Raw genomic sequence first — 24,524 nt, 5'->3', positions numbered from 1 at the left:
TCCTTTTAATCTTACATCTGCCGCATGTCAGTGATTTTCGGCAAACCTTCAGAGGGGCAAAGGTTAAAGTTAGCCCTTGGCACCTTCAGTTGGGTGCAGTGAGCAGCGAGATTAAAATTTCACCCCGCTGGAAGTCACAGTTACGAGAACCCAAGACCTAATCTGCTGGCAAAAAGAGTAAGAATTTCTTACCAGAAAAGCTCCTGGCCTCTATCTCTCTCTCTCTGTAATCTGATCAGGTGAATGGTAAAAATCACTCTTTCCTCTGCACAATTTTGATTAATGCGAGACAAAGATTTATGTGACTTAACTTGGGGTATAGTATCTCTGGTGTACTTTTTGGTACTTTGTGTATGAATATTCATATTGTTTGATCTCTTTCCTCCCAGAAACAGTCTTTTTCTTTGTCTCTGTCTTTCTGTGTTGTTCATAAAGAGGGATACCAAATAAAGTTCCCTCTTGTTCAGTTTTATGTCCTGGAGAGCTTGACATCTGACTAAGTGGGAGCAGTCTTTCCTGGTCTCCATCACCCGAAGGGCATGGTTGTTGGATCACATCAGGTGGCCATCCTAAAAATGCCTGGGAACCCAAGACTTTTTTTGTTACTAATCTCCCAAGCTCGGGGGCGGGGGTTTGTCATAAGAAGTCCTGTCCATAAGGAGCTTTTGTTTTCTCAGCCGTTGTTGCCTGGTTAATGCCGGGAAAGTCCAATCCCAGGAGGGGACACCTGGTGTCACAGATTACTGGCACCCCCCTCACAACTGTGACTGGCACCCCCCTCAGAAATTTGTGGGTTCCTTAATATCTGTGGCAACAAGAGTCTTTTGCTCTCTTAGCCTGTTTCCGGGAGTGAGATTTTTGGTGGGGGAATCTTTGGCATTGTTTTTGTCTATGCCCTAAAATTACATTCTGGCTTTACAGGAAGAGGCTTTTGGATTGAGTTGTTACTGGAATAAGTACACCACTGGAAACCCTAATTGTCGGTGGCCAGAAGACGGATCCTTTAAGTTAGACTAAAATTCCTAAATTAAAAAAAAAAAATTAGAGATATCTTACACCAAACAATTGATGCGAAGATTAAATTAAAAGGATACACAGGCTGGGCACTGTGGCTCTCCCCTGTAATCCCAGCACTTTGGGAGGGTGAGGTGGCGGATCATGAGGTCAAGAGATCGAGACCATCCTGGCCTACATGGTGAAACCCCATCTCTACTAAAAATACAAAAGTTAGCCGGGCATGGTGTGTGCCTGTAGTCCCAGCTACCCCGGAGGCTGAGGCAGGAGAATCACTTGAACCGGGGAGGTGGAGGTTGCAGTAAGTCGAGATTGTACCACTGCGCTCCAGCCTGGTGACAGAGTGAGACTCTGTCTCAAGAAAAAAAAAAAAAAAAAAGAAGGATACATAATAGGGTCATAGCTAGCTTTCAAAATTCTCTTGACTAAATTAAAGGGCAAAAATTTGACCTAAAACATTTAAAATCCTTTGTAAGAGATTGCCTGAGGGAATAACAATAAAAGCCATCCTGCCTTGTGGTCTAATAGTTAAAAGTCCATGCTTTCAGCATCAACGCCTGGCTTTGATACCCAGTCAGGGGGCCCTGTTGGTTTGACATCTGTGTGACTTTTGACTTTTTGGAGGTGGTCATTTATTTCTTTGGAGACACCTCATACATCCTTGGTTAAGTCAGAACCTTGGTTAAGGCTTATTAATTTTACCAGGGAGTGTATTTTGGTTAAAAAAAAAAATCCAGGCAAGGTGGCTCACGCCTGTAATCCCAGCACTTCGGGAGGCCAAGGCGGGTGGATCATGATGTCACGAGTTCGAGGCCAGCCTGGTCAATATGGTGAAACCCTGTCTCTACTAAAAATACAAAAATTAGCTGGGGGCTACAAAAAGTAGCCAGGGGGCGTAGCTCCTGGCTACTCGGGAGGCTGAGGCAGAAGAATTTCTTGGATCTGGGAGGCGGAGGTTGCAGTGAGCTGAGACGGTGCTACTGCATTCCAGTCTGGGCGACAAAGCAAGAGTCTGTCTCAAAAAAAAAAAACAGATTGTTTTCCCGTTTACTTTCACTTCTCCCTGCTTCTCCTTCCTCTTTGCCATTTTTGGTACCACAGGAAAAGGTCTAGAAAAGACTTCTAACAGCTCACACTCCTTAAGGGACTCAGAAGAAGGTAACTCAGAGTACTCTTACTCCTTTCTGGGAGTCTTCTTTCCTTGCAGTTTTAAGCGTCGTAGGCAACCTCCTGTGAGGTCTAAAACTCTGCTCTCTTTTGTATTGTGTTACCTGATCACTTTGGCTTTTGACCAGAAATTATTTGGTATTATGAGAGACTTGACCTTAGTGTATGTAATGGCTAGGCAAGAGTAACAGTGTTAGACATGGCCAACTATAGTTGTTTCCAATAAATGCTTGTTACTACAGGGGGCTACTCATTTGCACATTAGATGAACAACGGTGCGGTTTAAACACCCAGAAAAATGTATTTGCGGCAAAGTGACCAAAGTGTGTGGCCTGGTTTCCATGGTGCTTTCCTCTTTTGGGGGTACCTGGGATTCAGTGAAAGCCTTGATTTTTTTTTTTTTTTAATTATACTTTAAGTCCTGGAATACATGTGCAGAACGTGCAGGCTTGTTACATAGCTATACATGTGCCCTGGTGATTTGCTGCACCCATCAACCCGTCATCTAGGTTTTAAACCCCGCGTGCATTTGGTGTTTCTCTTAATGCTATCCCTCCCCTTGCCTCCTACGCCCCGACAGGCCCTGGTATGTGATGTTCCCCTCCCTGTGTCCATGTGTTCTCATTGTTCAACTCTCAGAAACCCTTGCTTTTTAAACATCTAAATGCTTTGCCTTTTAACTGCATCCACTTTTTTCATATTTAAATTATTAGGCCCTATAAACTAAAAATACTTTGTTAGCCTTGTTCCTTAATGAGTTCTGTCCTGACCTCAGTGGTCCACTTGAAAAACACAGACTGAATTAAAAGCTACCTATCTAAATGAGATTGCTCTCCTTATGCAATCTTACGGTTAATTCCTAAGGAATCTTGGCATTCATTTTTAATCTTCCTTTGACTACTCAAGCTTCTTGAAAAATCAAATTCTCTCTGTGCTTTGAGATATAAATTTGCTACCTGTTTTCTCTGAAACTCAGAAGGGGTACTCCAGATAAGCCTTAAATTTTTCCATTTACAAAGGCATAGTTTCAATCTGTCTTTTTAGACTAGTGAGTTTTACCTGTCTTATGGCTAAAATTCTAAAATCAAAACAATAAAGTCTTCATGTGCAGATGTGTATGCTATACCTTGTGTCTCTCTATACATACATGTATATGTATATATGTATTTATAGCTATACATGTTTAATATTGTCTACACATGGTACCACATTAATTTAAAAATAAATGAGTACTCATAAATTAAGACCAAATGCTTTTCAAGTTCATGTGATTTTAGCAATCTTTGAGAAATAAAGATAGTTTTAAAATTATTGGTAAAATAATATTAAAATGTCTTCAAAATTTTAATGTAGACATTTTTGTCTGAGTCTATTGATCAGGCAGGTTTATGGCCAAAAAATTGTTGCTTGATATTTTTGATACTTGATTAATTTGTTTCCGAGTCTGTGTATCTTGATTACAGCCTTTCGATTCAGAGGTCTAGACAGATGCCCATGATGAGGGTGGGGGATAACACCTGGTCCATCTTTCCTATCCCAGTTATGCCTCCCCTGCTGGGAGATTAGATTCTCTCCTATCCCAGTTATGCCTCCCCTGCTGGGAGATGCTGTGAGAAATTAGATTCTCCAGGCATTGTCTTTTGTCCTGGGCTCTGCATCTGATATGTAATTAAAATTACCTACTTCCTAGATTTTTTACTAAAATAAAAGTTACTAATTATTAACACTATAATAACTATATGTAGTCAAAACTACTAGATATAAGAGAAAAAATATGCAAAGTGTGTAAGGAAGTAGAGTATGTTTTTGGTAAGAAGGATTATAAAAAGGCATGTAAATTTGTGTGTCTATGGTCTTTTTTTTTTTTTTTTTTTTTTTTGAGAGAGGGTTTTGCTCTGTCACCCAGGCTGGAGTGCAGTGGTGTGATCATGGCTCGTTGCAGCCTTGACCTCTCAGGATCAAGTGATCCTTCCAACTCAGCCTCCCAAGTAGCTGGGACTACAGGCTTGCACCACAATGCTTGACTAATTTAAAAAAACTTTTTTGTACAGATGGGGTGCCCCTTTGTTGCCAAGGCTCGTTTCAAATTTCTGGGCTCAAAGTGGTCCTCTTGCCTTGGCCTCCAAAAGTGCTAGGATTACAGGCTTGAGCCACAACACCCAACCTTGGTTTTTGTTAAAGTGAAAGTAATTTTGTCTAGTTTAGAGGTTTTAAGGATTGTTTTAAATTGAAGAAATTTTAAAAATTGTAAGAGGTTATAAAACTGAAATTGTATGGATTTGTTTATAAACTTATTAAAATTAGCTTTAGCATTAATAATACATGAATACAAAGGTAAAATTTGGTTTTCTCTTTTGAATAATCTTTTAATATAGTATTAATAAGAGGTAGTAAAAAATTTTATTTGCTGTTTGACTAAGCTGCAAAAAAAAAAAAAGGAGGAGAGAGGGGGAGAGACAGTTTCAGTTTGCCTCATGCTGTCTTTATTAGACCTTATGATTGTTTAAGAAACTGAGTCTTCTCTCTATGCTTTTTGAAATCTCTGAATTATTATTTTGGCTAAATGAATGTCTTATTTTACAGAGACCTGTGATCTTATTTTGTGATATCAAGGATTTTAAACTTTTGATGTTTGATAAACTTTCCAAAATCAAAATTCAAATGCTAAATTCAGTCTTTTTTACCTCAACTACCTTTTTAAATATTACAGCCCGTGGAAGTCCAAGAAAAACATATACAGCTTATTTGGCATGTTCAAATTATACAGGAAGCATTGTCAAGTCTGAAATGTGTTTTACTTTGCATTATATTTATATAAGTGTGTTATTAAGATGTGTTCTAAAATTGTATGAGGTTCCTGAAATTCTGATATGTTTTAGCATATGTTATCAGTAGTATTTAATTATAATTATTATGTTAAATTGTTATATGCTATAGAAATAACTGATTTTTCTTGTCAATTTTCTTTAACCATGCCAGTCTAAGACTTTTGTCATACACAGACAATTATTATTTTACTCTGACTCTTCTTAAAAGGTGGTTTATAATCAGCCACAATCCAAAGTTTGCTTCTTTCTGGAAATTCATGGAAAGTACTTTTGTAAGTACTCTTAAGTACAGGTTTCTAATAACTTTGGAGATTATACAATTTGATTAGGTAAAAATCACAAAATTTTTAGGACTCTAATTAAAAAGCTGATGCATTCATGGCAACTGCTAACGCAACATCAAGCAGAAGAAGAGTTAATTACATTGGCTAAAAGTAACAGAAAACCGAAATCATTTTAATGACTTTTTTTGTTTGAACATTGCTGATTATTTTTGTTTTTTTTTTCAGAGTTAAAACACTTTTTTTAGGGCTATTTATATCTTACAACAGATTGGATAAAGCATACTTTTGTGAACAAAATTTGAAGCATATTTCTTTCTACCTGCCTTCTTCAGAATTTAGAAACTATTTGTGAGCATTTTTAGTTTCTAGGAATATAATGTTTTGTGTAAGTTCAGCAAGAATATGTTTTGTTTTTTAACAGTACACAATTGCAGACACTGGTTATTTCATCAAGGATTTGAGTGGAGTGGTATATTTTTAGAAATGTCCAGACTACTTTGAGGAATTGAGTTTGACTTTATAGAGCCAATAAAAAGCCTCTTGGAAAGACTTGCCTGATACCTTGCCTATGTGGTTTCTTTACGAAGTTCCTGACTTGCGGTAAAGCAGCATTCCCATCCTCCGGGTTGCGGACCAGCACATGTCTGTGGCCTGTTAGGAACTGAGCCACACAGCAGGAGGTGAGCAGTGGGCAAGTGAGCATTACCACCTGAGCTCCACCTTCTGTCAGATCCACAGTGGCATTAGATTCTCATAAGAGCACGAATCCTATTGTGAACTGTTCATGCAAGGGATCTAGGTTGTGTGTTCCTTATGAGAGTCTAACTAATGCTTGATGATCTGAGGTGGAACAGCTTCATCCCAAAACCATTTCCTCCCCTGCCCCCTGGTCCTTGGAAAAATTGTCTTCCAGGAAACCAGTCCCCGGCGCCGAAAAGCCTGGGGACAGCTGAACTAAAGAATGTCACTTTCTGACAGGCCCAGGAATCTCAAGTTATTTTAGGACCCTGAGAAGAGAGAAATTCACCCAAATTCATACAGGTGTGTACAAGCACAAATAAATCTTTGATTTGGTTAACCTCAAGAAGCTTTTGAAAGTCTAATCTGAGATTCCTTATAAGGAAAGTCTCAGTAAAGCCAATTTAAAAAGACCTTGTATGGCCAATCACATTTTTGCTGTACTTCATGCAAATAATCAGACCAAGTAGAATATATAATATGACTAAAACTTATTTTGCAAATAAATAAGGACTATGACTTATCTTTGGTAGAAATGGGGAAGTGGAGAGAGAAAAATTATCTTTCAAAAGAAAACTATACAGACACCTGTTGTTAGATTCTAGCCTTATTCATTGTTTTTGAGTTTTTATTATTTGCCTATAGTTTGGACTGAATCTTGAATTCTTTCTTGGCTACAAGTCTCCAAACTAAGGTTTTTAATTTTTTCTTCCATTTTTTTCTAACCTGAAATCTCTAGAAATTAAAACTGTGCTTTTCATAAAGCCCGGCAGACTGAAGTTAGACAATTTAAATTTTGAGAGAAATAACAGCCACTTATATGTAAACAACCTTCACGCCTGCTGATACGGACTTCTCAGAAAGTTCACTTGAAACCCTATTTTGTAACACAATTCAGAATAATCTGGCATATTGCCATTGCATTCTGAAGATGCTTCAGAGACTCTAGAAAAACTAGTCTATAGACTGCTCTAGACAGTTTTTAACCTCTGTTTAACCCTTGTTTTTTTCTATTTCCTTAGAAATACTTCTTATTAAAGATCTGTTTATCTGCATCACATATAGAGGCCTAGTCCAACTCCCATGCCACCTTCTGGAATGGGACACAGCTATTTAACTGAACTGATCTATTCTCAGGACTAAGAGACTGACTAAACAAGACTTGAGATAATATATTTAAATTTACTTTTTTCTGTTTATCCCAATTTGTCTTTCCATCTTTTGTCTATTTCTATCTAACAACCTCTAATCCAAATCTCTCCAAAGCTGTTAGTTTGGCTTTTAATATGTGAAACGCTTTTTAAGTTTCAAAGTGGGGATTGAAGTAAATAAAAAGTATTTTACTCCAAAATATATTTCTTTAACATATTCTGAAGTGATCCTGAAAATGTGTCTTCTGTGGGGGAAATTTGCATCTGTAGATCTGTAGAGAATTTGCATTAATGCAACCAGCCCTTCCCTTGTCCAGATCTAGGAAAGATTAGCTGAGAGTTTGGTACCTTTAAACTACTGAAAATAAACATTCACCATCTAAATTCTCTGAGGGCTGCTGCCAATGAGGTTTCATCTACATAACAAATCCACCTTTGCTAGCCAAGCCTCTTCCATTCTCTCTCCCATAGCCTGTCTTGAAACTATTATTAAAACCTGGTTGTGGTCATGCTGAGTCTGCATTCTTTCTGTAACCTTAAGATGTTATATAAGCATCTATACCCCCTGGAAAGTTGAGGTCTTCATCCTTAAGCCTCCCAGGTATAAATGTTAAATAAATTTGTGTGACTTTTCTCGTATGTATCCATCTGCCTCATGTCAGTGACTGTTAGCAAAACCTCAGCGGGCATTTGGCCCCTATAGTAGGCATCATAGAGCAGCTGTTCCAGACTTCACCTCGAATGAAGCAAAACTTCCATAATTAGATAGCAGTTTTACTTTTAATAGGAAGTGTTAAAGTGAAACCCGGAAGATGAAAACCCACAAATAAACCTGCTCCAAAAGTAAATCCATCAACCTGCACAGAAGTGAAACAAAGATTTTTGTAAAGTGCGAGATACCATTTCTGTTCGTCTTAGAAATGTATAACCAATGAATTTAGCATCCAACAATGAAAACTTAGCACCAAGAAGGCCTTTTGGGTCACGAAGAGAATGTTGGCCTATAAGTCCAAAGACCCGGACCCCAGATTTTGCTCTGCCCAAGAGTCTATAAAATTTGGGACAATTTCCTCTTGCAGCTCCATTTTCCTGAATTGTTTTAAAAAATGGGGTTGGATTAAATGAAACTTTATGTTTTTGAACCTCTCAGCTGTATTACTGTGTGAACAGTATTTAATGACTTTTAAGCTGCTCTCTGTTAAATGATACATCCCCTGTTTAATTCAAAGGAATATTGTTGACAGTAGATAAAAATATAAAAAGTAACTTTGAAAATTAGATTGGAAATTAGAAATATATTATCATCTCATGTCTTTTGTTATTCATAAACTACATAACATGAAACTTCACATGAGGAAGTAAACAAATGTCTGAGAGAAATCTTGGTGACAGTGATGGAAAATAAATAGAAACAAAACGGTCGAACAGGTGAACCCACAATGACTGATGAACGGGAAAGAGCAAATATATGATAAATTCTTTTCTAAATCGATTCTTTTGTGATATTCTCACCTTGAGATTTTAATATAAGAACAGTGATTATCAAGATGCTTAACAAAGTTTGCTAAGAGAAGGACACAACATACAAATTTGGATTTCACCCAACAGTGATTCAGGAAGCATTGTATTAATTCAATTGTCTTCATAGTTTGGTAGTTGCTGAAATTTCTATGGTCTCAGTCTTCATATAAAAATTCAAGGCTGAGCCCAGTGGCTCACTCCTGTAATCCCAGCACTTTGGGAGGCCGAGGCAGGAGAATCACAAGGTCAGGAGATCGAGACCATCCTGGCCAACATGGTGAAACCCCATATCTACTAAAAATATATTTTTAAAAAAGTAACTGGGCGTGGTGGCGCACGCCTGTAGTCCCAGATGCTTGGGAGGCTGAGGCAGGAGAATTGCTTGAACCCGGGAGGCAGAGGTTGCAGTGAGCCGAGATCACGCAACTGCACTTCAGCCTGATAAAAGAGTGAGACTCCGTCTCAAAAAAACCAAAAAAAAATCATATGAAAATGAGTTCTCTGTATAATTTGTTTAACATAACTCGTTGTGGTTGAACTAAAAAATGTTGAAATGGGTGATAATCAAGGGTGGTAAAGGTATATGTGGAAACCAATCAAAGTTAATTAATTTTATCTCACTGTCATAATGTTCTCAGAACATCAAGAAACTGGAGGACTCAAAGAGTTACTTGGTTTTTAAACAGCAATTAGCTAGTTTCTACTCAAATATAATGTGGCAATTTTTAACAACCTTGAAGAGTGACCATACTTGGTATATCTCTAGATACGAAGAAATAATGTTCAACCTGTTTTGAAGATGATGCTGATTAAAAGGCAGTGTTCTTGGCAGTATTCAGTAAGTTCTCTTGTATCTATAGACATTCATTAACTGCAGAGGTTCATTAAACAACTCCATGATAATGAAATTTATTTTAACTGAGTGATTTTGAGAACGAGAGAGTTGAGAAAAAATACTGACTATTTATTGTGGTTTTAGAGCATGAGGAGGAGGGAAAAAATGGGATGATTTAAATTAAGACAAGATCAGGGCTAATATGATACTTTTGGGGCCTCTAAATTATTGGTCTAAGGATTATCTCGAGAGAAGCAGAAGGCAAAATTCCCTCTGCTCTAGCCTCAGATTGTTAAAGCAGTTCCAGTTTGTCTTATTTGTTAGGGAGCGGGCATGCACCTTCTATAAGTCCTATTGGAAGAAAACATATTGCTAAGATTTCACCTTCAAAAAACATTTATTTAGTGTTTAAAGGATATGTATGATTAAATGCTGTGTTTAACATACCCACTCAGGATGTAACCTTTCTGGATTTTAATTCTATGTGTACCACTTATACTCTATGTGGCACTGTAAGTTAATATTTCTAAGCTTTCCATTTATTTGTATAATGATAATATTAACTAATACTTATTAATAAATTAACATCTCAGGTACTATTATAAGTGCTTAATATGTATCTATTTAATCCTCAGGACAATGCTATATGGTAGAAATTATTATTCTAATTTAATGAAGGAGTGTTTGAGAATTTAAATAAGTTCCCATAGCTAGCAAATATTGATAGATGACCTGGGATTTGAACCCATAAGGCCTGATCTCTTTAGCTGGCACCTTTAACCCTTATACATCAATAATTCTCAAGATATTGGAGATAGTGATAGTATTGCTTTATGAAATAAAATGATTAAGTGAAGCAATGCACATAAAGTGCCAAGTATAAGGCCTGGAACAGAGTAAATTTTCAGAACTGTAATGTAAACTATCACTTGCATGTATTGTGTATCCAATATATTGTAGGCCCACTACAAACATCTAATGTAATCTTCAGAATACCACTACATTATTATTTAAATGTACAAGCTGTAGAAAAATAAACTATCTTAACAGAAACAAGATAATGAATGAATGAAAGAATCAGGATTTGGATAAAGTGTTTTGATTCCATGGCTAATGCTCTTTCTGCTGTGCATTTTCTCCCCTATGCTCCACATTATCATAATTCTAATAACGTACTTATTGACAACAAAATGATGTGTATCACTTGAATGTGTCTTCTTCATAACGCAAGGATTTTTATATATTTATGGAGGTGATTTAATATATTGACTAGAACTTTAACCCTTGTGTGCATATTAATATTCAATGGTTAATTACATAGAAGTCTGAAAACAACTAAATCATTAATTTTGGAGAGTGAAGCAGAACTAGGACATTCTTTTGCTTTTTAAATATCATTTAAGTTATTTAACATTAATATACTATACTCATTGCATACATAAATGATTGAAAAAGTGAACTGATAAGCTAGGAAATCAAAAGGGGGATTTATAAGCAAGAATGGATTGATTAGTCCATTGTGAAATATTAATCAAATACCTGCATATACTGTTACTTATTCAAATTGTACTCACAATTGGAATCAATTAGCCTCTGGAATTTGAAAGCCGGTTTCTACCAATCCGATCCATGGGGATACCAAATCGCCTTTTTGGATGATCTACTACTTTCCTGAAACAAACCAAGGAGGACATTTTTAAACTAAAGGGCAAGTTATTGATCATTATTTTTGTTCTTTATTTTATGTAGCTCTGGGGGCTTTCTTTGGGAGTTGGAATAAACATGATAGTTCCCACTCACCAGTACTCACTATGTGCCAGACACTATCTCATATTTTCAACATCTGTGGGAGTAGATATTATTAGCTCCATTTTACATATGAGGAAACTGAGGCTTAGAGAAGTTAACTTATTCAAATTCAAATAGACCAAACCAAAAGCCAGGTCTTATCAGCATACGAATCTGCCAACTAAGTGCTTTAGTTTGAGAAAATCCCGTCCCCCTTCAAATTTTATTTTTCTGTTATTTTGTGAATATTAAACTGGATAAGTAGTTTTTCACAAACTTTGCTTCAGAATGGCTCATCTAAAGAAGGATGATGGTGGGAGAGGAAAGAGTATGATGCTAAGACTGAATGTAGAGGTAAATATACCTCTCATGTCTTCCCTTAGACTCCACCCAGAGAAGCTTTGTATGTGATGGTCGACATTTGCTTATATTCTCTTTGTTAAATACTGTTTGAAATAAATTAAACATCTTCATTATTAAAATGAAGTATAAAAAGTCCACACAGTACTACCAAAGGTCTAATATAACTTCCAGCTTATATTTTCTATCAATTACCCCTTTAAAAATAAGATGCATTTTAGAAACTTTTCAATTTGATTTGCTAATATTATCATCACTTAGTTCTATCAAGCCAAAATCCTAACAAGAGAGGATCCAGAGCTTTGATCGTATAACTTTCACTGGCCTTGGAGTTAAGAGAAGTGTGAATCTTTATGAAGAAAGAGACAGCAGGGAGAGTCTAAGAAGCCTATGTAAATCAGTGATTTATCTCACAGAAAAGGTAACTGGCTTATAAAATTGTGAGGCTTATTGTTGACAAAATATACATGCAGAAAAGAGGTCAGAAAGGAGGGCATATTATAAAAATATTAGACATATACAGATTTTAAGTGTAATAAATTCCCAGACCAAGAAACAGAACATTGCCAGCAGACAAACACTTTTGCAATGAGAGATAAACTTAAAAGGTTATTCTCCCACCAAATGTAAGGATTTCTGCTGGAGTACGATGGTGTGATCATGGCTTACTGCAGCCTCAACCTCCAGGGCTCAAGTGATCTTCCCACTTCAGCCTCCCAAGTAGCTGGGACTATAAGTGTGTACCACCATGTCTGATTAATTTTTTTGAATTCTTTGCAGAAATGGGAGTCTCGCCATCTTGCCCAGGCTCATTTCAAACTCCTGAGCACAAGCGATCCTTCATCTTGGCGTCCTGAACTGCTGGGATTAAAGGTATGAGCCACCATGCCTGGCCTGCTTCAATTTTTTGACCAATAATGATATACTTCATTGCTTGAAAAGCTCAGTGATGTAGGACTTAGTATCTAACAAGACAACTTAATTTTCAGCAGTTTAAACAGTCAAGAAAATATTTGCTTCAGAACATTTTCAATAGCTTCTTTAGTTCTTTTCTAATTACTAGTATTATATTATTAAACTATACTTATTTACCAATAATTACTTTATACTAATTTAAACGCTAAACATGAATGAAAACCTCAATGCCCTCGAGGCTTTTCTTATTATGATCTAATTGTTTTTTCTATTATAATTTACTGTGTACCTGATATGTAGAAAGGTTCTTTTTGTGGCTGTTTTGGGTGGAAGAAATGAGTCATAAATAGCCTTTTCCCTCAAAAACCTATAACTGACTATTCTCAGATTGATGATGATTTAACGTAAATAGTAGAGGAAAATAATTATGTCATTTTTTTTCCTTGACTACACAGTCATATCGGTGCTCCTGATATTACTATGAAGTAAATAACTTATTAAAGGTCTCGGAGGCCCGGCGCAGTGGCTCATGCCTGTAATCCCAGCGCTTTGGGAGGCTGAGGTGGGCAGGTCACTTGAGGTCTGGAGTTTGAGATCAGCCTGGCCAACATGGTGAAACCCCATCTCTACTAAAAATACAAAAATTAGCAGGGCATGGTGGCGTGTTCCTGTAATCCCAGCTACTCGGGAGTCTGAGGCATGAGAATCGCTTGAACCTGGGAGGCTGAGTTTGCAGTGAGCCGAGATCGCACCACTGCCCTCAAACCTGGGCGACAACGCGAGACTCTGATCAGGGGGAAGAAAAAGTCTGGGAAAGTATGGAGAATATGAGAGATTTTTATTGTTGTACCTTGTACATTGAAAAAATCTATAAACATTGATAAGTTCTAATTAAAATAATGTATTTAAGGACAACTAATATTTACTTAATACCTTCTATGTGCCAGATGCTGTGCTTGGTGCTGTTGTATAAAAGGCTAATAAAAATAGACATGGAACCTGATACGGTGTTTATACTCAAACAATATTACAGAAATAGGGCCATATTACATATTTCAACTTATTCAACCTTCTTTTCTGCTGATTTACGTCCATCTTCCTTTCTAGGTTGGCTCTTATTATCTGTATCGACTATATGTGTGATCTTTTTTTTCTCCTAGATAAAAATTTGATCAATTCGGTGAGAAAAAAACTAGGAAAAAAGTATTTAATCCTTATCCTTACTCTAGCTACACCCTTGCCTCCCTTCTTCAGATTCCTGAAAAACATATCCTCTTAAGTGGTGTTCTATTGTTTGCACTTCTACATTTCTTGATGAAAAATTAACTACATATTTTTCAACTTGATAACCAAATAGGAAACATGTTATTTGTAAAATTAATATAAATTTTATGGTTTAGAGTCATAAGAAACCATGCCTATCAGTCATGCTCTATGTCTTTGGTGTAATTATAAATAATGACTATTGAAAGAAAAGAAAAACTGTCTCCTTTACATTTTAAATTATCTTTGTCCACATAAAGTAAATATATAGATTCTTAATTACGCAGTTATTTTCCTCGTGGTAGTCAGAATAATGACTTCTCAGAGATGTCCACTTCATAATCTCCAGCAATTATAAATATGTCACTTTATATAGCAAATGCATTTTGCAGACAGGATTAAGGTTAAGGACCTAGAGATGAAAAGATTATCCTGGGTTATCTGGTTGGGCCAATCTAGTCACCAGTCTATAAAAGTTGCTAATCACTGACTAAGAGTGAGTCAGAGAACAGCAATCTAAGGATTTAACCGCCATGGCTGGCTTTGAATGGAGCCATGAATCAAGGCTTAGATAATGAATCAAGGAATGCTGTGGCCTCTAGTTCTTCTCCTCCTTCTCCTCCTTCTCCTCCTTCTCCTCTTCCTCCTCCTTCTTCTTCTTCTTCCTCTTCTTCTTCCTTTTCATCCTCCTCTTCCTCTTCTTCCTCTTCCCCTTCCCCTTTACCTTTCCCTTCCTCTTCTTCTTTTCTTTCTTTCTTTCTTTCTTTTTTTTTTTTTGATACAGGGTCTAGCTCTGTCACCCAGGCTGGAGTGCAGTGGCACCATCTCAGCTTCTGCAACCTTCGCCTCCTGGGCTCAAGCAATTCTCCTGCCTCAGCCTCTTGAGTAGCTGGGATTACAGGTGCGTGCCACCATGCCTGGGTAATTTTTGTATTTTTAGCAGAGACAGGGTTTCATCATGTTGGCCAGGCTGGTCTCAAACTCCTGACCTCAGGCAATCCACCCACCTTGGCCTCCCAAAGTTCTGGGATTACTGGCGTGAGCCACCACACCCGGCCTACTAGTTCTTGAAAGCAAATGGGGATCTTGGTCCTGCCACTGTAAGGAACTGAGTTCTGCCAACAACGTGAATGAGAGGAAGTGAAAAACCAACCCTCTCAGATGTTTGAAGGACTCACAAGAAAGGGAAGGAAATAGCGGCTGGGGAAAGCAGTCACATGATACCTGCACTGATTCCCCAAACTCCCTTTAGAAATAGATGATGTCATGAAAAAATAATACGTTTACTCTTTTTTTTTTTTTTTTTTTTTTTTTGAGACAGAGTTTTGCTCTTATTGCCCAGGCTGGAGTGCAATGGCACAATCTCAGTTCACGGCAACCTTTGCCTCCCGGGTTCAAGCAATTCTCCTGCCTCAGCCTCCGGAGTAGCTGGGATTACAGGCGCCCACCACCACGCCCAGCTAATTTTTTGTATGTTTAGTAGAGACAGGGTTTCACTATGTTGGCCAGGCTGGTCTCGAACTCCTGACCTCAGGCGATCCACCCGCCTCGGCCTCCCAAAGTCCTGGGATTACAGGTGTAAGCCACTGTGCCCGGCCTCTTTTACTCTTTTCGAGATACGTATGATTAAAACAGAACATTCTTTGGTCTCTCCTACCAAAATTTATTTTCTCAAAAATGAAGGTAAATAAGTGAAAATGTGTTTTTCTTTTTTGCTTTACTACAGTTGATCTTTCCCTGCTCAATCAAATAAGAGGCAGCTGCGGTATAGTGGAAAGCAAAATAAATTCTGTTTTACTTCCTTTCTTTCCTTTTTCCCCATTCTCTCCTCACCTCCTTTCCCCCAGATTTGATCCAAAATGTATTAGAAACCAGGAGATGGAGGATTTGTGTTCTACTTGATTTACTTACTGATAGTATGACCCTCTGCAAGTCTTTTATTCTAAGCTACTCTTTCCTTTTTGATAAAATTCAGATAATAATTGCTATGCCTATCTTCTGGAGCTGTTTATTCACTTAACAAACTTATTTGTTAAGTGATATTTGATTGTTTCATGCATTACCATGTATTACACAGACTTAACCATGTGTTATGTGTTGTTATGTGCATTGGGGATACTACAGTGAATAAGACAAAGGTTACCTCTCAGGGTTCACATTTTACATTGAAAAGTGGTAATCAGGTAACACATGTAAAAACATTTCATACATTTCAACTGATACTAATTTTTCCTACCAGTCTAGTCCAGTGGTTTTCAATTTGTAGTTATTTCTATAGATAAAAGCTTTATAAAAGAGAGCAATATCTGAAAAGTTAAGTAAAGAATTGTCCCAGTAAAAAAGTATCCCTCCTACACAATATATAGTGGCCCCTGACAGACCTTCCAGAAACACCATAGGTTCCTCAGAGCAGAGTTTAAGTGAAAACTACTGGTCAAGTGGATAAAATAGTAACTCATGGTTTTACCCTAGCAACAAATTCATAATTACTTTGATTCATCTTATCAAATTGTGGATTGGTTGCAAATGCTTATAGATATCTGGACATCAAATAAAAATAAATAAAACAAATATATATATAAAAATCAATTCATTTTAAAATTTTTAGTACTAATACAAAATAAAAATAATTTTCATAAAGCACATAATCAGAAACCATAATAGCCTGGTTAAATACTTTCTATACAATCTATATCCATCAGAAGTGAAACAGAAAGCTAGTAGTTAACATTTTTGTTGATATGAAATATATATATTATATATGAAATATAAATATATTTATATTATATTTATAATATATATATAATGGTGCTACATTCTAAAACACATTACTGGCATGAATGTAGTGTATGAAAAATTAATGTTAGATAGAGAATATAATCTTGAAACCAAAAGAGAAAGCTGTACTTTTTGACTATCTAGTCCCTCTTGTGACAAAATAATGGTATGACATGGCTTATATGATATATGCATTTAAAACAACCCACGTTTTCCATTCTGAAATATTCTGTAAGTAAAGTAGATTAAGGATATAGAATATTTATCAATTTAATACAATCACAATGATTAGATTGTTTATTTTAAATGAAACTAATTTTCACACGAAAATCTAAACTTCCTATGTGAAACAGGATTTTCTTTAACATTTATAATCTTGGATAACTCCATTTCTAAAGGTATTTTACATTCCAAAAAACAGCAGGTGGAAAAATGTTTTTAAACTTTTTATTGAGAATCACTTCACACATACAGAACCTATACATTTGTCTATGCTCAATTTAAAGAGAGTAAAAATGAACAGCCCTATTCCCAGCCCCCAGCATAAGAAATAGAGCATTACCACTACTTTAGAAATTCTGGTATTCCTTCTCCCAAACTGCAGCTGTCTCATGGCTCAGTCCCAGAGTAATCCATAGACTAAATTTTGGTCTAATAATTCCCTTGATTTCCTTCATAATCTTAGAATCTATATGTATTCTTCAAAAATCTGTTGTTTTCTTGATAGTTCCAGAATTGTACTTAAAAGGAATTGAGTACGATGAACAATGTACAGCATTGTGACTATAGTTAATAATGTTGATATTAACATGTAAATAATGTAAATATTAATTATTGTGTTATTAATGATGTTAATAATAATGTATACTTGAAATTTGCTAAGAGCAGATCTTAAGTGTTCTCACCAAAACAAAAAACAAAAAACGGTAGCTGTCAGGTGATAGATATGTGAGTGTGGTATCATTTCACAATGTGTACATATATCAGAACATACTGTACACCCTAAATTTATACAATTTATATTGTCAATCATAGCTCCATCAAGCTGGGACAAAAATTATATATGAATTTTTCTCCACTTCTTTCAGCAAATATTATGTGTTTTGAGATTTCTCCAAGATGACATGTGGAGCTGTAGTTCCTTTATTTTACTGCTGTATAATATTTCATTGTGTGAATACACAACCATTTGTTTATCCATCCTACTGTAGATGGAAATTTGAGGTATTTCCTCTACTTGTTGTTGTTATGTACTGTTCAGCTGTACCTGCCTTTGGTGTTCAAGTAAGGATTCCTCTACAATATATTCCCAGTAGTATAATTGACAGCTATGCTTATACTTAATTTTATTACATAGTGTCATATTATTTTCCAAAGTTATTGTACAAATTTACGAACTCAAGAGCAGTGTATGATAGTTCCTATTATTTCAAATTTATGCTAATCCTTGTATTGTGGGATTTTTAATTTTGCCAGCCTAATGCTTTGGTAATCATATCCCACTGTGGTTTTAATTTACTTTCCCTGAATACTAATGATGTTGCTCAGCTTTTCATTTGTTTATTGGCCACTTGGATTTCTTCTTTTGAAAGTGCCTGTTTGAATCTGCTGCCTGTTTTTCTAATGTTTTTTTTTTCTTTTAAACATTTATCTGTAGGAGGGCTTTGAATACTCTGAATATTAGACTTTGAGAGTTATAAATTTCAAATATCTACTCCCATCTGTGATTCATCTTCTTTATTGTGATTTTTTAAAAAATCTTTGATGTGGTTTTAAAACATCAATATTTTTGCATCTCATGTAATAAATCACCTCTACCCTAATATTATGAAGATATTCTCCTATGTCATAAAATATTTTTGTAGTTTTGCCTTTTACATTTCAGTTTTTAATACGTTGAAATTAATTTTTGCAAGGCACAGTGGCTCATATCTGTACGACCAGCTACTTGGAAGATTGAGGAGGGAGTATCCCTTGAGTCCAGGAGTTCCGATCAGATTGAGCAATATAAAGAGACCCCGTCACAAAACAAAATAAACAAGAAAAAATTTAATTTGTATTTATGGGGTGAGTAAAAAATCATGTTTCTTTTTAAAAAAATCTATATTCATGCCTAATGATTCAGAAATTTTAGATTCAGCTCGTCAAGTTCTATAGAAATCCTATTGCTGCTTTGACTAGAATTGTATTGAATCCAGGTATAATTCATTTAGGGAAGAATTGAAATCTTTATGATATTGAGTCTTACTATCCAAGATCATTTATTTAGAGTGTTTTTAATGTCTTCAAATAAATTGTTAAAATGTTCTCCAAAAGACCTTTTTGTGGTTGTAAGTGGCATCATTTAAGAATATATGTTGTAGGCATTTTTTAATGGTGTCCCTTACTTGGTTAAAAAAAGTTTCCTTCTATTATTAATTTACTAGTGATTTCAATCATAGGTGGGGGTTTAGCTTTATTGAATGCTTTTTCTGAATCTATAGAGATGATGTGATTTATATCTTCAATTTGTTAACTCCATTAATTGATTTTCAAAGTAAATTAAGCTTATATTGTATTTTTGTGATAAACAACATGATAATGGTATTTTTTTTTAAATACATTGCTATTTGTTTTGCTATTTTTTTTGGTAGGAATTTTCTATCTGTAGTCATTAATGAGGCTGTCCTACAATTTTCTTTTCTTGTTCTCTCCATATGTGGTTTTGGTGTTTAGATAATGTTATTCTCATTAAATGAGTTGAGAATTGCACCTTCTTTTTGGTTATCCTTCTGTTATTTATTTAATCACATTGTAGTTTGAGAACATGTTTTGTATGATAACCATGCCTTTAAAACTTGTAAGGCTTATGTTACAGAATAGCACTTCGTTGAAAATTTCCATGTCTAGATGTTGTTTGATTGTTCTTAATAGGTGTTTCGGGTGTCATTAAAACTTTTTTTCCTTCCATTTGTTGGATACAATAACTTTTAATGATCCTGTTTATAGTTTCGAGTTCCAAGAAAAGAAACTTGGAATCAGAGTGTGGAAAATGTTCCTTAAAATCAATAGTCTGATTTCACTACTACAACTTAAAGGGGCACTAAAATGCTAGTCCTCCTTTAAGAAAGGCACAGAGCTGGCCAGGCGCGTTGGCTCACGCCTGTAATCCCAGCGCTTTGGGAGGCCGAGGCGGGTGGATCACGAGGTCAGGAGATCGAGACCATCCTGGCTAACATAGTGAAACCCCGTCTCTACTAAAAATACAAAAAAAATTAGCCGGGCGTGCTGGCGAGCGCCTGTATTCCCATCTACTCGGTAGGTAGGCTGAGCCAGGAGAATGGCGTGAACCCGGGAGGCGGAACTTGCAGTAAGCCGAGATCGCGCCACTGCACTCCAGCCTGGGCGACAGAGCAAGGCTCCGTCTCAAAAAAAAAAAAAAAAAAAAAAAAAAAAAGTCAAGGCACAGAGCTCCACCAACTTTGAGTTCTATCCAAAATGAGAGAAAACAGAAATAGCTAAAAAAGAATGTTCTTTCAAATAGTTCAGTAATTTAGATTAGTAAAACAGGGAAGTTAATTATTATAGTATAAACCTTACATGAGTGTACTAGCCAGGCTCCAAGGTGGAACCCAATAATTCTACCATTATGTAGTCTCCTTCCACATTGAATAGGGCTGACTTCTCTAATCAATAGACTATTGTGGAAATGACACTGTTGGAAGTAATGAAAGCTATTGCAGCTTCTGCCTCACTTTGTTGGATCACTTATTCCGGCGGCAGCTGGCTGCCATTTCCTAAGTGCATGCTAACAACCCTTTAGAGAGGTTTACATGGCAAAGAGCTAAGGCCTCTCGCCAACAGCCAGTGAGGAACAGAGACTTCCTGCCTTCAGCCAAGTGAGTGGGCCATTTTGGAAGTGAATACTCCAGCCTCAGTATAACTTTCAGATAACTGAAGCCCTGGCCAACATTTTCACTGTAACCTTGAGAGAGACCCTGAGCTGGAAAAAAATGAGTCAAGCTTTTCCTGGATTTCCGATGCACAAAAAGTGTGTGAGAACAAAAATGTTTATTGTCGTCAATTTTAGGTAATTGTTGCATAGCAATAGATATCTAATACCATGAGATTCACAGTGCTCTGAGATTCCGTGAGAGAAGAGACCACACCCAATTTGGGGGTTCTAGAAAAAACTTAGAAAACTTAGGAAAAACTTAAGGAGCATGTAGAAAAAATAAATGATCATCCATGAATCCTGCAATCTTGGTTACTGCAATTTAAAATTAAAATGCAAAACTAAAATGTTTACATTAGGATAGATATCACTATATACAACCTTGGAAGGACTGACATGTGAGAACAGACCAAGCTGAAGGACTTGGCAAGAACCTGTGAAGGATGAGAAGGAAAATAATCAAAGTGTACAAAACCATGTTAAAATTTAAATTCAAATTCCAGAATGATAGGATGAAGGAGCACATTAAATCTGAATGGTGATATGGTTTTAAGGAACCAAAACATAATGGCTTTTTTTCTCAATTCTACATTCAGAAACAGTAGAGAAATAAAATATGAGTGATCAATGTATAGTAAACAAAATGTCATTTTTATTGCTGATCAAGCTGAACATAAAGTGTGTCTTTACATCTGAATTTCACAGGGCTTCCTGTTGTTTTCTCCCTGTATTAGACAGACTTTTATAACTAGTCATTGTTTTCCAATAAAAAGAGGAAGCAAGCCGATAACCTGAACAGGCTCAACTACTCCTCCCAAACTGACCAATCAGAGAAGTGGCCATTCCTTCCCTGGGAAGGAGTGAATAAAAGGCTGGGCAAAAGCCAATTTTTTTCCTAACAGGAGTTCCTTCACATAGAGGACAGAAACAATTGGTTACCACTTAATAAATGGGGTAGTTTTGAATAACAAAAGAAAGTGCTAATTCACTTAGCAGAAAGTTTACTTTTGACTTCTAGGATTCTGTCTCAAAAGTGATAATTCACTTTTCAACAGATTCTGCTCAATTTATGATGAAGGTGCTGATTAGGCATAATGTCAGCTTCTGATGTATTATCTCAAGGAATTAGCCACATGGACAGGCATTCAGAAAGAAACCATGAGTACTGGAATCACATAATGAGATTTAAGTGACTGTACTGGCATGTTTAATTTGAAAATGGCTGTAGATGAGGCAGGAAAATAGGGTCTAGAGGCAGGGAACATAAGTCAGATTCACATTTCAGCTATGACAGAAAATATCCTCTCCATAGCGCATGCCCAGTATGTGACTTTGTAACTTTATTTCATCCCTTCACAGGGCATACACCAAGTAACCAATGGAATCCTCTAGAGGGTATTTAAAACCCCTCAAAATTCCATAACAGGGCCCTTGGGCCCCTTTGCTCAGGCCCGCTCCCACACTATGGAGTGTACTTTCATTTGCAATAAATTTCTGCATTTGTCACTTCATTCTTTCCTTGTTTCATCCTTTCCTTGCTTTGTTTGTGCGTTTTGTTTAATTCTTTGTTCAAGACGCCGAGAACCTGGACACCCTCACCAGTAATATAGAGTTTATCGTATAAGGCAGAGAGGATCTCCATTTACTTGGCTCATGAACCTTGAGAAGCGAATGAAACTTTTAAAACTTCTGTTCAGCAAATGTATTCATACAAAAATATCCTGTAGAATGTTCTTTTGAGGGTTAGGGTCTGTAATATACTTTGCAAAGCCTATATATGGAATCAGGTATTATCCCTTTTGGGAGAAAGTTTTAAAGCTTCATACATAAATTGGGTTGGGAGAAAAGGTAAAAGGACTGTCCCATCCTATGGTCTTGAGCTGAGCTGAGAAGAGGACTGCAGTAAAGAACAGTCACTGGCAACAATGGCCCAAGATCATTATGCTCAAAGGCATTTCCCACTGTGTAAGAAGGCAGCATTTAAAAGGGCGGCACACTCTTGTGAAAGAACATGGAATCTCCTCAAATCACTACCCCAAAGGGAAAGTTAAGTTCGGGAACTGAGTCAATACTACTGCCTTCCTTTTGTTTCTAAACTGATAGCTGTAATTCCACAACGCTGTATCACAGCCTCGTTTCCTCTACTCCCTCTTTTCACATGTTTACTTTATCTTATGTAAACTGTAGATTTACTGAGCATGAGAGAATGCATAATTGACTTTTCCCTCTACTTCCTCTTGTCATATGTAAAATGTAGATTTACTGAGGCTAATCAGAGCCTCACAAGAATGGAAGCATCTGCCTCACTGCCTGCCCTTTCTGCATTTTTCCCCCTCCTGCATGCTCTTTCCCCTTGAAAACACCCTTTGGAAAAAGCACAGGTCACAGGTGCTCCTGTGACTTGGATTTTTTTCCCCGCAAGTATCTTCAACTTTGGCCAAATATACCTCTGTTGATTGAGAAATGCCTCAGTCACATTTTGATTAACACTGTATCCCTTTTTTGTGTTTCCCACACCTGAAATGGAGCTCATTTTCAACTATGTCCTCTGGAGATGACCAAATAAGAGCTAAAAAAGAAAAGCATAAACCTTGAGATGCCGCGATTGGCTCAGTTCTGTGGCATTTCTTCACAACAAATTAGAAAGAAAATAAAATGTTAGACTTTTTACCTTAATCTTTGGGATTTTTGTCAAGAAGGGCAATCATATCTGACAAATTGAATCTGGCATTGCTATTCTCAACTTTAGCCTGAACCTGTTGTTACAGTGCATAGAGCTGTACTGGGGCATGAACAGGAACGGGGCAGAAGAGGGCCCCCACATCCCACCAGGAAAGTCAGGTGACCATAGGTGATGGTCAGGCATTTGTCACACTGCCTCTCTAAAATAATAATTGGTCACAGCCAGCACCAGGGAAAGGCAGTTTCTCTATAGATCAGAAATATCTGAAACTGGTGATTGGCATCTTCCTGATAAGATCTCAGGTGTTGGGTGAGTTTGCTCAAGCATGCGCTTTAAGAGGTCAAAAGGTGGCATTTAACTGGTACATGACCTTCTAGGGGCATTCCACTGAAAGAAGGATGCCAGGTGCTGGAAGCAGGCCAGCATATAATACCCTAAGGCCAAGGTCAAATGGGGCACTTGACCTCCAAGATGCCTGCTTGGCCTTCTTCCAAGTGTACTTCACTTTTCATTCCTGCTCTAAAGCTTTTTAATAAACTTCCACCCCACTCTAAAACTTGCCTAGCTTTCTTCTTCTGCTTTATGCCCCTCAGTCAAAGTCTTTCTTCTAAGGAGGCAAGAATTGAGATAGCTGCAGTCCCGTTAGGATAGAAATCCATATATCATGGATACAGTAATTCTAAAACTATTCATTTAATGCATATATTCTAAGTGAATCTCACTGTTCCTGGCCTTTGACAAATATCTTATTCACACAGAACTTTAATTTCTTTGTAGAAAGTCGCTTGAGGCAACGCATAATTGACTTTTGCCTCTACATCCTCATTTCACATGTAAAACCTAGATTTACTTAGGCTAATCAGAGCCTCACAAGAATGTCAGCATCTGCCTCACTGCCTGCCCTCCCTGCCATTTTTCCCCTCCTGCTTGCTCTAGCAGCTTTGTAGAAAGCTACTTTCTGCAAAGAAATTAAGTGGAAAGTCACGGCCTTGGAGTTAAACAATCTGGCATGTAATTTATATCAACATAATCTCAGGGAAATCATTTTATCTCTCCGAAAACATAATAAAATGTGGATCCTAATGTCAGAGGCATTTGAACCAGAGTGACTCCATCTTGAATAGGGGCTGGGTAAAAAGAGGCTAAGACTTGCTGGACTGCATTCCCAGAAGGTCAGGCATTTTAGTCAGAGGATGTTTACAGTTAAGAAAACAAGTTAATAATGTTTATGGAAGAGATCCAGGACTTAGCAGGTCCAGAAAATA

At 36.8% G+C, this 24,524-nt stretch overlaps 1 protein-coding gene across 2 annotated transcripts in view; it reads right to left on the bottom strand.

The window, feature by feature from the left end:
* The window catches only part of OSTN (osteocrin), a 66,375-nt gene that overhangs the window by 4,370 nt on the left and 37,481 nt on the right, over positions 1-24,524 (bottom strand). For both annotated transcript variants that reach the window (NM_198184.2, XM_017006303.3), the window contains exon 4: positions 11,113-11,209. In NM_198184.2, coding sequence (NP_937827.1) covers positions 11,125-11,209 — 85 coding nt within the window. In that variant the 3' untranslated portion in view covers positions 11,113-11,124. The remainder of the gene's footprint in view (positions 1-11,112; positions 11,210-24,524) is intronic.

This window comes from Homo sapiens, chromosome 3, assembly GCF_000001405.40.
Source record: "Homo sapiens chromosome 3, GRCh38.p14 Primary Assembly".
Taxonomy (NCBI): domain Eukaryota; kingdom Metazoa; phylum Chordata; class Mammalia; order Primates; family Hominidae; genus Homo; species Homo sapiens.
This window is presented reverse-complemented; position numbering and strand designations above follow the sequence as displayed.